Below are 16,825 nucleotides of genomic sequence, written 5' to 3' on the forward strand. Positions count from 1 at the left end.
GTCTACTATAGCTTTTAGCTTTGTGGTCACTATGAGTCTTACAGAAAACATACTTATAGCAATATATTTTAACCTAATAAAACCAGTACTACACTGTACTGCATACCTATCCAAGGGTGCACTCAATTTAACTTCATTTGCCTATGGAAACTCTACATTTTACTTCTCTCCTACCCCCACATGCATTATATGTTTTTGATGTCACAATTTACTGCTTTTTATATTATCTATCTCTTAACAAAATATTGTAGCTATAGTTATTTTTAATACTTTTGTGTTTAATATTTTTTTCGGGAGTTAAAAACATATTTATATAACACCATTATTGGATTATAATATTCTGATTTTGACTATATATTTACCATGACCAGTGGGTTTTATACTTTCATGCATTTTTATGTTATTAATTTGTGTCCTTTCATTTAAGCTTGAAGAAGTACCTTTAGCATTTCTTATAAGGCAGGTATAGTAGTGATGAACTCCTTCAGCTCTGTTTGTCTGGAAATATCTTTATCTCACCTTCATTTTTGAAGGACAGCTTTGCCAGATATATCATTGGTTTTCAGAATGTTTTTTCTTTCAGTAGTTTGAATATATCATCCCATTCTTTTCTGGCCTGTGAAGTTTCTCCTGAAAAGTCCAAAATAGTTTTATAAAGGTTCTCTTGTATGTGACAAGTCACTTTTCTCTTGCTGCTTTTAAATTTCTTTGTCTTTGACTTTTGGCAATTTGATTATAAGGTGTCATGGTGAAGTTCTCTTTGGGTCGAACATGTTTGGAGACATTTGAGTTTCACAGGTGTAAATGTCCATATCTCTCTCAGGGTTCGGGAAAATTTGAGCCATAATTTATTTAAATAAGGTTTCTTCCCCTTTCTCAATCCTCCTTCTGAGACTTTTATGATGCATACATTGGTTTCATTATTAGTGTCCCTTAAGTCCCATAGGTTTACTTTACTCTTTTCAATTTTTTTCTCCTTAGTCTGGATAATTTCAAAAGACCTATCTTCAATCTCAGAGATTCTTTCTTCTGCTTGGTTGAGTCTGCTGTTGAAGTTCCCTATTGCATTTTTTCAGTTGATTCACTGTATTTTTCAGCTCCAGGATTTATGTTTGCTTTCTTTTGATCTTTCAATCTCTTTGCTTCACTTCCAGTTTTATTCATATATTGTTGTTATGATTGATATTATTGAGTTCTCTTGTATCTTGCTGAGCTTCTCTAAAATAATTATTTTTAATTCCTTGTTTAGGAAGCTTACAGATCTCTAACTCTTTAGGGTTTCGCATTGGAAAATTATAGTGGTCCTTTGGTGATGTCATTTTTCCTTTGTGTATGTGTTTATGACCTTGCAATGATATCTGTGCATTTGAGGTAGCAGTCATCTCTTCAAGACTGATGGGCTGGATTTGTGGGGAAATACTTTCATTTGTGGGTGAGTGCTATGCTAAGTGAACAGGATGTGGTGGCATAGTCTGTGCAGTTCCATCAGCTGTAATCAATATTTGACAGGACTGTGGGGGTCCTCAGTGGCCAAGGTTGTAGATGTATTTGAAGGCAGCAGTAGTGATGAAAGTTTTAGAGGGCCTTAGTGTCAAAGATTGCTGTGGTCCTCCTGCTATTCTTTTTCCTGGGGCCGCCTATGACACTGTGGGGAGTCCTAGCCAAAGGGATCCTCTTGGTGCTGAGTCTGTCACAAGGGCATGCTGGTAACCACAGTAGCACTGGTTCCAGGGCACAGGCATTTTTGTGGCAGTGGTGGTCCCAGTATTCAGCACATAGGTGATCAGAGCAACATCAGAGCCAGAGTCCTGGGCTCAGGAGTGTATAGAACATCTATGGCACCTGGAGAACAGGGCCATAATTCTATAGCAGTGGGTGTCATCAGTGTCTGAGACAGGCATTTGACAGTCTTAACTGATATAACCAAAGTAAATGAAGCTAAGCCCTTTAAAAAAGCACAGGTTATTTAGAAAGCAATTAACTTACATGATTAGGAAGTGCTAATACAAGATTTCATGGAGTTCAATAATTCTTGAAAGAAAACTCTTGCTTTTAAGGGAATTACATTACTGAGGATACTTTTGGTTGCAAGGAACAGAAAACACACATCAGACTGATTTCTATATTGAAGGAAATGCATTGCTTTATGTATATGAAAAACCTGTGGCTCATGCTGGCTTCAGGAAGAGATCATTCCAGCAGCTCAGTGATGTTGCCATGGAGTCAGTTTCCTTCTACTGCTCTGTTTTATGTTATCAGCTTCAGCATAATATTGTCTGCTTTTCTAGTCTCAAAATAGCTGCACCAGTTTCTGGGGTCAAATGTGTCTTTATGAAGATCCTGGAAGGAATGATTATTTTTGACCCAGAGGTCTCAATAGAAACCCTAGTAGTTAATTTTCCTGCTTAAAACATCTGCCAATACCTAAACTAATCACTATCGTAAAGGAGAGAGGGGGCAGGGACATCATGTGCTGATTGTCTTAGGGAAGTGTTCCATCTCTACAGAGCTGGGAGTGGAATCAGTGCTTCAGAATCCCCATGGATATCCAAGTGAAAATTAAAACTATTAGAAAGCGAGGAGAAGGAATTAGGTGATGAGGAGATAATAACCTATGGACAATATTGTAAAATAGCAGTTTTAATTCTAGTCCCCTTTTCTTAGGAATGAAATTTCTTTTGAACATTAGAGATACCTAACTTATTAAAGAGCAGTCATTCAGTTAAGATGAGATGAGAAAGTCCATGGGAGAAAAAAGGGATATCCAACCCTAAGTGGCCTTTCTTTCTCTCCATAGATACATATCCTGCCCAGGTATTCTGTGCACAGGATGGGGGCTGGAGATCTATTTTGTAAATAAAGGAAAAGGGTGTCATCCTGAAATTTTTGCTCAGAAATAAACACAGTTTGTTTTAGAATCACTTTGGTCTAAGTATCAAAAATCACTGTTAATTTTTTTAGGGAGCCAAGATGGCCAACTAGATACAGCCAGGAAGAAATTCTCCCACTGAAAGAGACTAGACTATCAAGGAGACCAGCATACTCTGAACAAGTCTTTGGAAAGAAGGCATGGAGAGTGGACACAAAAAGGACACAGACCATAGGCTGAAAGTAGAGAAAGTTGGGAACACTGCAGGGGGTTGCCGAGCACCAGGACTCATTTCTGGGCCCAAGAGCCTCCTAAAGAAAGGGTAAGTGAAATAGGCATGGAGTGGCTCACCTTCACCAGGGGCTTCTGAGATCCTAGCTATGGGAGATCCCACAACTCCCATGACATTTGAGCTGCTAGTGATAATTGCCTGGAGAGTTGGTGGAAACAGAATTCCAGCCTGGAAAGAGCCCAGAGGGTTTGACATGGGAATGTCTATAGTGGAGCATGGCCATGGACACTCATCCCACAAGGCTCACCATACTCCTTTAGGTGACTTTAGCCTTTGTTAGCTGCTGGACCTGGAGAGAGTGGGGTTGTCTTGTCCATGCAGTCTGATTTGAGCACACCCCAGTCTGCTGGCCTCTCTCAGGGTCCCTGCCTGGCTGCAACCACATGCAGCCCAGCCTCAATTGCCCAGCCAAAGTGCTTGTCAATGGCCACCACGAGTTGTTTCACTGGCAGATGCTGCATACCCATTGGAGCACTTTTGCATCTTGCCAGTGTGCACCCACCTGCAGCCTTCCCACATTGATGTGCACTCACTCATAGCATCCCCCTGTCCCCACCTCACTGGAATACATGCACACAGGGGCCCACCACTGCCCTGCCAGAGCACTTTTGCCAGAAGCTCCAGTCAAGTGTTGTTGCCAACAGACTGGAAACACCTCAAACGCTCCAGCACAGCCCGTGCTTTAATCTCAAGGGGCCCCAGAACAAAGCTGTGGGCCTGCTCCCAGCCCTCCTGGGTTAGAACACCCAGTCCAGGAGTGATGAGCTGAGCCTTGGGCCTCTGAAAATATCCAGATATGAAGCCAGTCAACTAAATCCAACTTATACCACAGCCAAATCCTCAAGGGCATTGTATTAGTCCATTCTCACGTTGATATAAAGAAATACCTGAGACTGTAATTTATGAAGAAAAAAGGTTTAATTGGCTCATGGTTCAGCTGGCTGTTCAGGAAACATAGTGGCTTCTGATTCTGATGGGGTGGATATGGCCGAACTTCAGGAAGCTTCCAATCATGATGGAAGGCAAAGGGGGAGCAAGCTTCTTACGTGGCAGGAACAGGAGCAAGAAAGAGATGGGGGATGTGCTACACACTTTTAAACAACCAGATCTCACAACAACTCAGTCAGTATTATGAGGACAGAGCCAAGAGGGATGGTACTAAATCATTCGTGGAAAACATCTCCATTATCCAATCACCTCCCACCAGGACCCGCCTCCAAAACGAAGGATTCCAATTCAATATGAGATTTGGGTGGGGATGTAGATCCAAACCATATCAGGTATCAAAGAATATAAGAAGCAAAAAGTCCCATCCAAAAGATTAAAAGAACATCAGCTCACACAGATGAGAAGGAACCAGTGCAAGAATTCTGGCAACTCTGAAAGCCAGAGCATTTTTTAACCTCCAAACTACCACATTAGCTCCCCAGCTATAGTTCTCAACCAGCCTGAAATATCTGAAATGACAGATATAGAATTCAGAATCTGGATGGCAAGGAAGCTCATCAAGATATAGGAGAAGGTTGAAACCCAATCCAAGGAAAACAGTGAAATGGTCCAAGAGTTGAAAGATGTGATAGCCATTTTAACAAAGAACCAAACTGAATTTCTGGAAATGAGAAATTCGCCACAGGAATTTCAGAATGCAACTGGAAGCACTGATAACAGAGTAAACCAAGTTGAGGAAAGAATCTCAGGGCTTGAAGACAGCTCCTTCAAATCAACGCAGGCAGACAACAATAAAGAAAAAATAATTTATAAAAATGAACAAAGTCTTTTAGAAATATGGGATTATGTTAAGAAACCAAACCTACAACTTATTGGCATTCCTGAAAAAGATGGAGAGAGAACAAGCAACTTGGAAAACATATTTCAGGATATTGTCCACAAAGATTTCCTCAACTTCACTAGAGAGGTTGACATGCTCATAAGATTCTCCAAAGTCAATGCAAAAGAAAAAATCTTAGAGCCAGCAATGGAGAAGGGGCAGATCATGTATAAAGGAATTGCCATCAGGCTAACAATGAAACTTTCAGCAGAAACCTTACATGCCATGAGAGATTGGGGGTGTATATTTAGCATCCTTAAAGCAGAGAAATTCTAACCAAGGACTTCATAGCCAACAAAACTAAGATTCATAAGCAAAGGAGAAATAAAATCCTTTTCAGACAAGAAAATGTGAACAGAATTCATTACCACTAGACCTGCCTTACAAGAGGTCCTTAAGGGACTACCAAACAGAAATCAAAGATCATTATCTGCCGCCACAAAAACACACTTAAGTACATAGCCCACTGACACTATAAAGCAACTACACAATCAAGTCTACTTAAGAACCAGTGAACAACACGGTGACAAGATCAAATCTTCACATACTGATATTAACCTTGAATATAAACAGGCTAAGAACCTCATTTAAAAGGCACAGAGTGGCAAGCTGGATAAAGAAACAAGACCCAACTGTATTCTGTCTTCAAGAGGCCCATTTCACATGCAATGACACCCAAAGACTCAAGGTAAGGGGATAGAGAAAGATCTATCAAGCAAACAGAAAATAAAAAAAGAGTAGGGGTTGTTATTCTTACTTCAAACAGAAGAGACTTTAAACCAACAATGCTCAAAAAGGACAAAGAAGGGTGTTACCTAATGATAAAGGGTTAAATTCAACAAGAAGAGTTAACTTTCCTAAATATGCATGAATCTAATGCTGAAGCACCCAGATTCATAAAAAAAAATTCTTAGAGGCTTATATTGATACTTACATACCACACAATAATAGTGGGAGACTTTAACAACACACTGACAGTGTCAGACAAGTCATCAAAGCAGAAAATCTAACAAATATATTCAGAACCTAAATTCAACACTTGACCAAATGGACCAAACAGACATCTACAGAATACTCTACCCAACAACAGAATATACATTATCCTCATATGCACATGGCACATACTCTAAGATTGACCACATGCTGGGTCATAAAAGCAATACTCAACAAATTCAAAAAACCAAAACCATACCAACCACACTCTCAGACCACAGTGCAATAAAAATAGAAATTAATACCAAGAACATCTCTCAAAACCATAAAATTAGATAGAAATTAATTGCTCTGCTCCTGAATGACTTTAAAGAATGAAATTAAGGCAGAAATAAAAACAAATACTTGGAAATGAATGAAAACAAATATACAATATACCAGAATCTCTGAGACACAGCTAAATCAGTGGTAAGAGGAAAGTTTACAGCACCAAATGCCTACAACAAGAAGTTAGAAAGATCTCAAATTAACAATCTAATATCACCTATGGGAACTAGAAAACCAAGCACAAACCAACCCCAAAGCTAACAGAAGAAAATAAATGACCAAAACTGGAGTTGACCAAAACTGAGATGCAAAAATCGAGACGCAAAAATCCATACAAAAGATTAAGAAAACCAAAACTTTGTTTTTTGAAAGAATAACTAAGATTCATAGACCACCAGCTAGATAGATTAATAAAGAAAAAAAAAGAGAAAAGATCCAAATAAACACAATCAGAAATGACAAAGGGGATATTACAACCAATCCCACAGAAATAATTTAAAAAACCCTCAGAGAGTATTATGAACACATCTATGCACACAAACTTGGAAACCTAGAATAAATGAATAAGTTCCTGGAAACATGCAGCTTTCGAAGATTTTACCAGGAAGAAACTGAAATCCTGAACAGACCAATAATGAGTTCTGAAATGGAATCAAAACTCGTTATTATATTATAATCTAACAACCAAAAAAGCCCTGGAATAGAAGGATGCACAGCTGAATTCTACCAGATACATAAAGAAGAGCTGGTACCAATCTTGAAATTATTGGTACTGAAATTATTCAAAAAAGTCAAGGAGGAAGGACTCCTCCCTAACTCATTCTATGAGGACAGCATCACTCTGATACCAAAATCTGGCAGAGACAATGAAAAAAGAAAACTTCAAGCCAATATTGCTGAATAACATACATGCAACAATTCTCAACAAAATACTAGCAAATTGATTTCAGCCATATACCAAAAAGCTAATCCACCATACTTTGTATCCCAGGAATAAAGTCTACTTTAGAGTAAATAAAACTTACTTTGTTTACTTTATTTACCTTGGATACAAGATTGGTTCAATATAAACAAATCAATCAATGTGATTCATCTCATAAACTAAACTAAAAACAAAAAATACATGATCATCTCAATAGATGCAGAAAAGGCCTTCGATAAAATTCCACATTCCTTCATGTTAAAAACCCTCAACAAACTAGGCATAGGAGGAACATACCTCAAAATAATGAGAGCCATCTACAATAAACTCATAACTGACATCATGCTGAATGGGCAAAAATCGGAACCCTTCCCCTTGAAAACCGAAAGAAGACAAGAATGCCCAACTCTCATACTCCAATTCAACCTAGTACTAGAAGTCCAAGCCAGAGTAATCAGGCAAGAGAAAGAAATAAAAGGCATCCAAATAGGAAGAGAATAAATCAAACTATCTCTCTTCACAAACGATATGATTCTATACCTAGAAAACCCTACTGTCTGTCCCAAATCTCCTAAAACTGATAAATAACTTCAGTAAAGTTTCAGAATACAAAATCAATGTGTAAAAATCAGTGGTATTTCTATACACCAACAACACCCAAGCTGAGAGCCAAATCAAGAATGCACTCCCATTCACAACAGCCACCCACATAAAATACCTAGGAACACAGCTAACCAGGGAGGTAAAATATATTTAAAATAAGAATTAAAAAACACCAAGGAAAGAAATCAGATATGACACAAACAAATGGAGAAAGTGTTCCATGCTCATAGATAGGAAGAATCAATATTGTTAAAACGGTCATACTGCACAAGGAATTTAAATATTCAATGCTATTCCTATCAAACTACCAAAGTCATTTTCCACAGAATTGGAAAAAACTATTCTAAAATCCATATGGAACCAAAAAAGAGCCCAAATTACCAAAATAATCCTAAGCAAAAGGACAAAGCTAGACACATCACATTACCTGACTTAAAACTATACTACAAGGCCACAGTAACCCAAACAGCATGATACTGGTACAAAAACAGACATATGGACCAATGGAACAAATTAGAGAATCCAGGAATAAAGCTGCACACTTAAAAACATCAGATCGGATAAGTAAGCAATAAAAACAAGCAATGGGGAAAAGATACCCTGTTCAATAAATGGTGCTGGGATAAACTAGCTAGCCATATGCAGAAGACTGAAACTGGACCCCTTCCTTTCACTGTATACAAAAATCAACTCAAGATGAATTGAAGACTTAAATGTAAGACCTAAAACTTTAATGGCTGTAAAAGAAAATCAAGGAACTACCATTCTGGACATAGGCCTTGCCAAGGATTTCATGATAAAGTCTCCAAAAGCCATTGCAATAAAAACAAAAATAGACAGGTGGGACCTAATTAAACTGAAAAGCTTCTGCACAGTAAGAGAAACTGTCAACGGAGTAAACAGACAATCTACAGAATGGGAGAAAATATTTGGCATATGCATCTCACAAAGGTCTAATATCCAGAATCTGTAAGGAACTTAAATCAGCAAGCAAAACACAACCCCATTTAAAAAAAATGGGCAAATAATATGAACAGACATTTCTCAAAAAAAGAAATACACATGGGAAACAAGTATATAAAAAACTGTTCAACATTACCAATCGTTAGAGAAATGCAAATGAAAACCACAATGAGATAACGTCTCACATCATTCAGAACGGTTATCATTAAAAAGTCAAAAAATAACAGACGTTGGTGAGGTTGAGGAGAAAAGGGAATGCTTATACATTGCTGATGAGAATGTAAAATAGTTCGGTCACTATAAAAAGCAGTTCGGAGATTTCTCAAAGAACTTAGAACTACCATTCAACCCAGCAATCCCATTATACCCAAAGGAATATAAATGATTATACCAAAAATACACATTCATTCATAGGTTCATTGCAACACTATTCACAATAGCAAAGACATGAAATCAACCTAGATGCCCACTAACAGTGGACTGGATTTAAAATAATGTGGGGCCAGGTGCAGTGGCTCATGCCTGTAATCTCAGCACTTTAGGAGGCCAAGGTGGGAGAATTGCTTGAGCTCAGGAGTTCAAGACTAGCCTATGAAACATAGTGAGACCTTGTCTCTACTAAAATTTTTTTTAAAATTAGCTGGGCACTATGGCATGTGCCTGTAGGCCCAGTGACTCAGGAGGCTGAGGCAGGAGGATGCTTGAGCACAGGAGGTTGAAGCTACAGTGAGCTATGATCACGCCAGTGCACTTTAGCCTGGGCAACAGGGCCTGTCTCAGAAAAAAAAAAAAAAAGAGAGAGACAGAGAAAAGAAAAAGAAAGTATGGTACATAGTAACACCATGAAATCCTGTGCAGCTATAAAAAGAATGAAATCCTGTCCTTTGCAGCAACATGGATACAGCTGAAGATCATTATCCTAAATGAATTAATACAGGAACAGAAAACCAAATACAGCATGTTCTCACTTACAAGTGGGAGCTAAACATTAAATACACATGGACACAAAGAGGGAATTGTTGTGGGTGGAGCATGGGAGGGGGGTGAGGCACTGTGCTTACTACCTGGTTGACAAATCATTTGTATATCAAACTCCTGAGACACTCAATCTACCCATGCAACAAACTTGCACATGTACCCCCCTTGAACCCAAAATAAAAGTTGAAAAAGAAAAAAAGACCACTCTTGAATTGCTGTTTCTGTTCTTCTGTTCTTGACATACTTATGTCTTAGCTTCATAATGAAGTATCAAAATGAAATGGCCAGGAAAATAATGACTGCAATTTTGCCAATGGTTTCTATGCTCCTTTGAGTGACTCATTGCTCCTTTGCAAAGCAGTGAGAAGAGAGAAGCATGGCTAAAAATCAATAAGGATTCTGATAACCTGGCTCAGAGTCTCAGAATTAGCCACATTCACCTTTCCCACCCTCATTCCTAACCCTCTTTTATATACTCTCCAGGATATGTGCACACTCTTGTGAAAATGTTAGGAAACAATTATACAAGTAAATACAATTCCTTTAATTATATTTAACAACTAGAGTTGAGGGGATGCATTTGTTTATGGAACAAATTCCTCAGAATAAATTGGATTTTTAACTTGTCACTAAATTTATGGGGATTTAAATTTGCTCACTCCTTAAAAGCAATCAGCTATTTCTAAGTATAAAAGGGAGAAAGCTACTAATAACACTTCTCAAATACAAGAGTGTGCAGATACTTTACTATATAAGGCACAGCTTTTAAAATGGCATTATCTTTAACATAAATATATAGAAAAAGATGTGCTCAGAGCATCATAAGTCCCAAATATATCATCGCCTTGCTATCACTAACATATAGGTATATTATATTCCTATAAGCACTTAATTTTTTTTCTTCCCTTGAAGTTTGATACTGCTGCATCTTAGGAAGCTGACCTTTCTTTTATGTTGTTTACTGATTATTCTAATCTAGTCCAAAAGCCTTTTCTAATCCCCCTTCCTCCAAATTCTTATGGCAGTTGTTACATATCTGAGTCTTCTGGCATTTGTCATGTGCCATCTTAAGCTGTTAAGTAGGGCTTTTTTTTTTCATATGGCTATGTCTCATTTCCCCAACCACATTATAACCAATTCAGAAATGTTATGAGTCTTTGACTCTTCCCAGTTTTTAACAAGGTGACTTGGGTGGGAATATAACATCCTAAAGGAAAGGGGCTTCATCTGATTTGTTTTCCATGATAACTCCCAGAACCCTAACCTGACACATAGCACACACTCAGTAAATAGTTATCAAATAAAAGAATAATTGTATTAATACTAGATGCTCAAGAGATGTTTGGTTAAAAACAGTACTACTAAATTACTATTAGATGGACCTCTGATTTTAATTAATTTTCCAATAGATGTGAGATTTTCATTAGGAACTCAAGACAAGCCCATGACTTTGTGGCCTAGGACTCCCTAGAATACATGAAAGACCCAAACATACACAAAAAGTAAAAATCACACTTTCTATTCCTGAGGAATCCATGCTTCATTTTAACTTCTCAAGTATTGCAGCCTTCCTCTTATTACACTCTCTTCTTATCCAAGCATGCCTTTATAAGCAGATTAATCTTGCCAAAGATCAGGGCTGTTGTTTTACACTGGAGTTTAAGCCATATCAATTTGCACAATGACACAGCAAATCAGGCATCCTCTTGCAGGAATTAGAACCAAGGAAAATCAAGCTTGTTGGTTTTGGTGTGTGTTCCAGGGGACAGGTATAGCAAGCACATCCCTAAGATCATCAACTCTCAGAGGTGCTCACTCAAAGAAGTTTTCCTCCACACTGAAAACCCTCCGTCTTATTCCTCCATTTAAATCGTATAGTTTAATGTGAGACTGTCTGCTATAATGAGACTCTTCACTTTGCAAGCTACAATTTCTGAAGAAGTCTGGTGGTTCATGCTGCTCTTTCCTGTTTGTTTTTCTGAAACAAAACAAAACAGAAATAAATCACCAGACTTCTCCAGTAGTAGAATTACTAGAAAGATTTTCTTCCATGTGCTACAAGGAAGTGCCTCGCAGTGGGATCCTGCTCCAAACCTACTTTCAGAACCCCCACGAATACGAAGAGGAACCACAGTTCTTCCATTCTGATTTTTGGTTGTTATCCCATGGCAGCACCGAGTACATACTGACTTAAATCAGCAGAACCTTCTGTGTTTGCTTGTGAGAGGGGTTCTCATACCACCTCAGTGGCTTGAACTCCAAGAAGTGACAGCTGCAAGGCCATAAGAGTGTGTGTTCATGATGAACTTTGATCATCAGCCATATTACAGGCAACTTTCTCTGACTCACTGAGTATTTGGTGCATGAGAAAATAAATTGGCGCCTGGAACACAAATCAAGAACGAGTGCAATTTTCTGGGGATTACAACTAAGGATTTGTGGGATTAAATTTCTAGTGCAAAAAAAATCTACCTTGGTATACATTGTCCAAATGAAGTCATTTGCTTTCCTGAACAATTTGCTATTTTATTTCTCTTTAGAAACAAAACATTTCATGCATTGGCTGTTTAAAATAAGTAATAAGTAATAAGACAAAATTAAGGACATTTTAAAACAGAAACAGTAGAAAACTAAACTTGATGAGGTTTCTTAAATAGGTCACATGTATTCAACATTTATATTTAACTGGTAGATTTTGGTTAAGTGATATATATATTTTGACACACTCTACTTTCAAAGGAAAACTTCAGATCTTGCTCCCAGACTCTCTCTCATTCCTGATTTCTGTATTTCCACCACCTCTACCAGACACCTGGATTTAAAGCCACAGTCCACCTCAAAGCCTTCCTCTCACCTGACCCCCGCTTCTAATCATCTTCCAAATCTGGTAGATTCTACCACTCCCTGTCTCACACATAGAATATTAGCATAACCATATAACCTAAGTCATGCTTCACATGAATCCACTCTGCCCAAAACCTTTTAGTTCTTTATTAGTGCCATGTGAGCTGCATACAAACTCATACATCAGGTATTAAGGGGCCTTTTCAATTGGGCCAGTGTACATTTTCAGCCTTACTTCTCACCACTGTAATCTGGTCCCAGTAACAGTAAAACCATAAGGCCTTAAGCCACATGCCTCTGTGCTTAGTAACCCTTTGCTCATTCTGTTGTCTCAAGCTAAAAGGTCTCCCGCCACTTTCCCCAGGAAATCTTCTGAGAGCATCTTGACCAGACATATCCTTTCTCTTGAAGCTCAGTGTGACGCTTTGGCATCTCTCGACCAGAAATCCTTGCAGTTATTTATTAATTGAATGTCCACTTTGCCCCTACTAAGTTGTTTCTCATGTGGGTTGAAACATGTCTTACTCATGCTCAAAGCCCCTATGGTAGCCAGAGCACTGCCTTGCACAGAGTAAGAGCTCAGCGTGCTCTAAAAATACGTAGTTTCTGTCTAAAGAAGATACTATTGATTGAGTTACAGCATCATGGTTCCCTTTATTATACCAATTACTTTCAAACTCAAAAAAATGTCTGTTAGCCTCAAATGTCATCATGGAAGGTAGTAATAGCGCCTCTTGGAAACAATAGTCAACAGGTAATCCTTGACCATTGGCCCATACTACACACTTCATTGCAAGACATTTCAGTCATTGGTTTAAAATACTGCTAGCTCCAGGTCAAGGATGATTACAATAAATTATTTAGTTGCTATTGGTATAGATAGATAGATAGATAGATAGATAGATAGATAGATAGACAGACAGATAGCTAGATATAGTGATATAAAGAAACCTGAAAAAAGTAGCATCTATTGTTTTTAGAAGAACTATTCTTAGGACATTGACATTTGGTATGTGACAAAAACAAAAAATTTGTTATTGGCTTAAGAACTGCTTCTCTAAAGTGAAAATAATATGAGAGGCAGGATGAGCATGATGGGTTTTTGTTGCTAATGTTGTTGTGTGTTATATGATGTCCCTAAAGTAACTGATACTCAATTATAATGTTCAGCTTTGGAGTTTTATGGTGGGTATGTCAGTATATGGTGGGTATTCAGCTCCAAACAATGGAACCCTCAACTAAAAGTGACTTAAAAAGTAAGGACACTTATTATCTAACATAACAGGAAGTAGACAAGCTCCTCAAATCTGATGAATTCAGCGACAAAATAATATTACTGAGATTCCAGGGATTCAGGCTCCTACTATATTTCTGCTCTGCCATCTACAGACTGCACCATCATACAGCTTATTCCTCTTGAACTTGCTGCTAGTAACATCTGAGGCTGCATGCTTCCTTGTTCATATCCAATGGGACAGGATGAACGGGGCCTCATCCTGAAGAAGTCTCTCCTTTCACTCTGTTTGGCCAGTTTAGCTCAACTTCCTACCTCAGGACAAGCAGCTCATCAAAACACCAGGCACCCATTTGCTTAGGCTTAGATTTCTAGAATAATGCCTAAAATGAGGATAGAATTTCCATGATTGGCTATGACTGATTAATACTATTTTAGGGGAAGCGTAAATTACCAAAATCATACTAATACTCTAAACACATGAAGAACGGAAGGATGGAATGGATACTGCGGAGCAATTAATAACTGCAAATATGGACTGGCATTATTGTTCAAATAATGAAGAGGACTGACTTCAAGAAACTACAATTTTTTAAATATAAAAATTTAATGGATTTCTACATTTATTGAGTGAGATTTTGTCATAAACAGGTACTGACATTTCCCCTACAGAATCATCCCCAATGAAGAAATGTGACATATTTAATGTAGATTGTAAATTCTATGAAGTCAGGGACCATGTTGGTCTTCCTCAGTGCTCTCTGAAGCTTAGAAGAGGGCCTGGCACAGATGAGATGTTCAAAAACCTTTTCTGCTTGAACAAATAAAGATAACAATAACTTTCATTAAACAATGGACACTTGCATTAGAACAGGGTATCACACTGAGGAGGAGGGCTGGGTGCCAGATTAATTTAACTATAAAAGGTATCAAAAGAAAGTTTTCACAAGCCAAACTAACACCATAGACAAAAACCACCTAGTAAGTGCCTGCTATGCTCCAAGCCAAAGATTTTCTAGAACCCTAGCAAATATCCATGACAATGTCATAGTGAAAGAAATATAATTCTATCTTTGTTTTTAAAGAAGGTAGCACTCAAACCACTTCCAATTATGTTTGTGTGAAAGCTGACAATTTGAACCATAAACGCTGCTTTGATGTGGCATCTGGCAAGTGTAATGTTCTCTTCTCATAAGGTCTTCTATCAGAAGCCACTTTAGATATTCCCAGAGAGACACTGCACAGGACCACAGATAAACCAGACAAAATGTGTTCTTCTGGATTTCCCTATAGTTTAAATATATATATAAAGAGATTAAGCCAAAGTTGTTCCCCTCTGAGCCATCATCTTTCTGCAGACTTTCTGGATAAATGTGGCCCAGCTGTCTCACTGACCTTGCAGGACACTGGAACTTCCCGCTTCCAAATGCCATGAAGCAGTCCAAGAAAGAGTGCTTCTCTAAATTTGCCTTTTTCCAACGTTCCTGTGGGAAGAAAACATTTTTTTTTCCAAATCAGCCTTATATAAATAAGCTTAACTTTATTTCTCTAGGCTAAAAATGACCTTGTACAGCTAATCCTTGCATATAAAGTTGCAGGGTTGTTGGTAATTTTTTCCACCCTGTTATTAATATTAGACACAATTGTGTTTCTGGAACATGAACTTATAAATAAAAAGGTTTTTAAAAAATTCTGTTAAGTGGTAAATGTAAATGATAAGGTAAATCAACCACAGAATTGACCTAAGAAGAGGAAGAATATTTATAATAAGGTCTCAGGCTCCGTCATAAAATTGCTCTTGGTAATAAATTTAGTAGTAAGACACTGACATCCCTGCCTGTTAGAAAAAGCTTGGGATGCAGAATGAATGCATCTGGATGCCATTTTTGACAGTTTTACCTAAAGGCAGAGAACAGACTAAATGACCTCTTAACATTCTGTTCGGCCCTGTAACTTTCCAGTTCTAAGAAACAGCAGATCACGGTTTTAATTTGCTTTATTTGTATTTTTTTGTACTCCTTGGAAACCAATGACAGAAGCAATTGCCTGAAGAACATGAAATAAGTCTTCTATCAAAAACAGGCTTATTCACTTGAACATGCCCTTCTGGTTTCATGTAAAATGTATTTTAAAGTTAGAGAAGTTTACTACAAAAACTTTTCTAACTGATTTGTAAATGTTGCACTATCTATATTGCAAATCTGTTCTGTACTTTGTAGTCAACTTTGTTCTTAGTTACGAGAGAAATATGGCTGCTTAATTATATAGTCCTAATTAATTTCTGAATTTACCCTTCTGAAATAAAAAGAAATTAAAATGAAAGAATAATATATACTGAAAGAGATAACTTACAGGTTTGAACAATTCAGGCTCAGGAAAATACTTTGGATTTCTATGCAGCCAAAATGGAGACAACATCAACAAGTCACCAGAAGGAATGATGTAATTCTATAACAGAAAAATCAGCTGCAAATCATTTTTTTGAAATATACTTTAAAGAGAATTTGGGCCACTAAAAATGATGCTACAATTATATTGTGGTGAAGATATACCTTTTATAATTGAATGTGAGAAAATCTAATTTTTAATATCTATATAATTATATAATATCTAATTATAAATAATATAAAATCTAATAATATAGTATCTATATAATTCTGATTTCCATATACATATATTTGGTTACATAGAGGAAATTATATAATTCTGATTCACATGTACATATATTCAGTTATATGGAAGGAAATATTAGCTAAATGTCAAAATTTTAGAAACTAGTATAAGTCCCTTCTAATGTACCTTTTGATGTTTGATATTAGGGTTTGTGGCCAGAGTTCTTGAAGGCAGAAACTACAGTGGAGGCTCAGGTTATGAAACAGAAAAATTGGACTCTGAGACAGGGACAATGGCCATGGTAGCACTGAGAAGAGGGGCAGAGGATGTCCTGTTCTTGTGGATACTAATGACAGTGTTAGAGCAGGGGCAGTGGACTTTTCTTTCCTCAGTCCAGCACCGGTTATTAGGAAAGAAAC

General features: G+C 37.5%; 1 protein-coding gene across 11 annotated transcripts in view, besides 2 other annotated features; it reads right to left on the reverse strand.

Annotated features, from left to right (window-relative positions):
- CYP39A1 (cytochrome P450 family 39 subfamily A member 1) overlaps window positions 1-16,825 on the reverse strand; it is a 103,239-nt gene that overhangs the window by 22,309 nt on the left and 64,105 nt on the right. For 4 of the 11 annotated variants that reach the window (NM_001278739.2, NM_001278738.2, XM_017010924.2 and 1 more), the window contains 2 exons: window positions 16,146-16,241; window positions 15,189-15,277 (listed from right to left, as the gene is read on the reverse strand). The exons of 1 other annotated variant lie outside the window; for it this stretch is intronic. In NM_001278739.2, the coding sequence (NP_001265668.1) occupies window positions 15,189-15,277; window positions 16,146-16,241 (185 nt within the window). Of the gene's footprint in view, window positions 1-11,081; window positions 11,694-12,220; window positions 14,605-15,188; window positions 15,278-16,145; window positions 16,242-16,825 lie in introns of those variants that run through there. 6 more of the 11 variants (XM_017010922.2, XM_017010923.2, XM_017010921.2 and 3 more) reach the window with 2 other exon arrangements.
- Window positions 3,177-3,677: an enhancer, noted in NCBI's record as "H3K4me1 hESC enhancer chr6:46542802-46543302 (GRCh37/hg19 assembly coordinates)". NCBI's record gives its function as "activates a minimal SCP1, AML or CMV promoter by ChIP-STARR-seq in primed H9 embryonic stem cells {active_cell/tissue: H9 hESC(primed)}" and the evidence as "EXISTENCE:reporter gene assay evidence [ECO:0000049][PMID:30033119]".
- Window positions 3,678-4,178: an enhancer, noted in NCBI's record as "H3K4me1 hESC enhancer chr6:46543303-46543803 (GRCh37/hg19 assembly coordinates)". NCBI's record gives its function as "activates a minimal SCP1, AML or CMV promoter by ChIP-STARR-seq in primed H9 embryonic stem cells {active_cell/tissue: H9 hESC(primed)}" and the evidence as "EXISTENCE:reporter gene assay evidence [ECO:0000049][PMID:30033119]".

The sequence above is a fragment of the Homo sapiens genome, chromosome 6, assembly GCF_000001405.40.
Source record: "Homo sapiens chromosome 6, GRCh38.p14 Primary Assembly".
Lineage (NCBI taxonomy): Eukaryota > Metazoa > Chordata > Mammalia > Primates > Hominidae > Homo > Homo sapiens.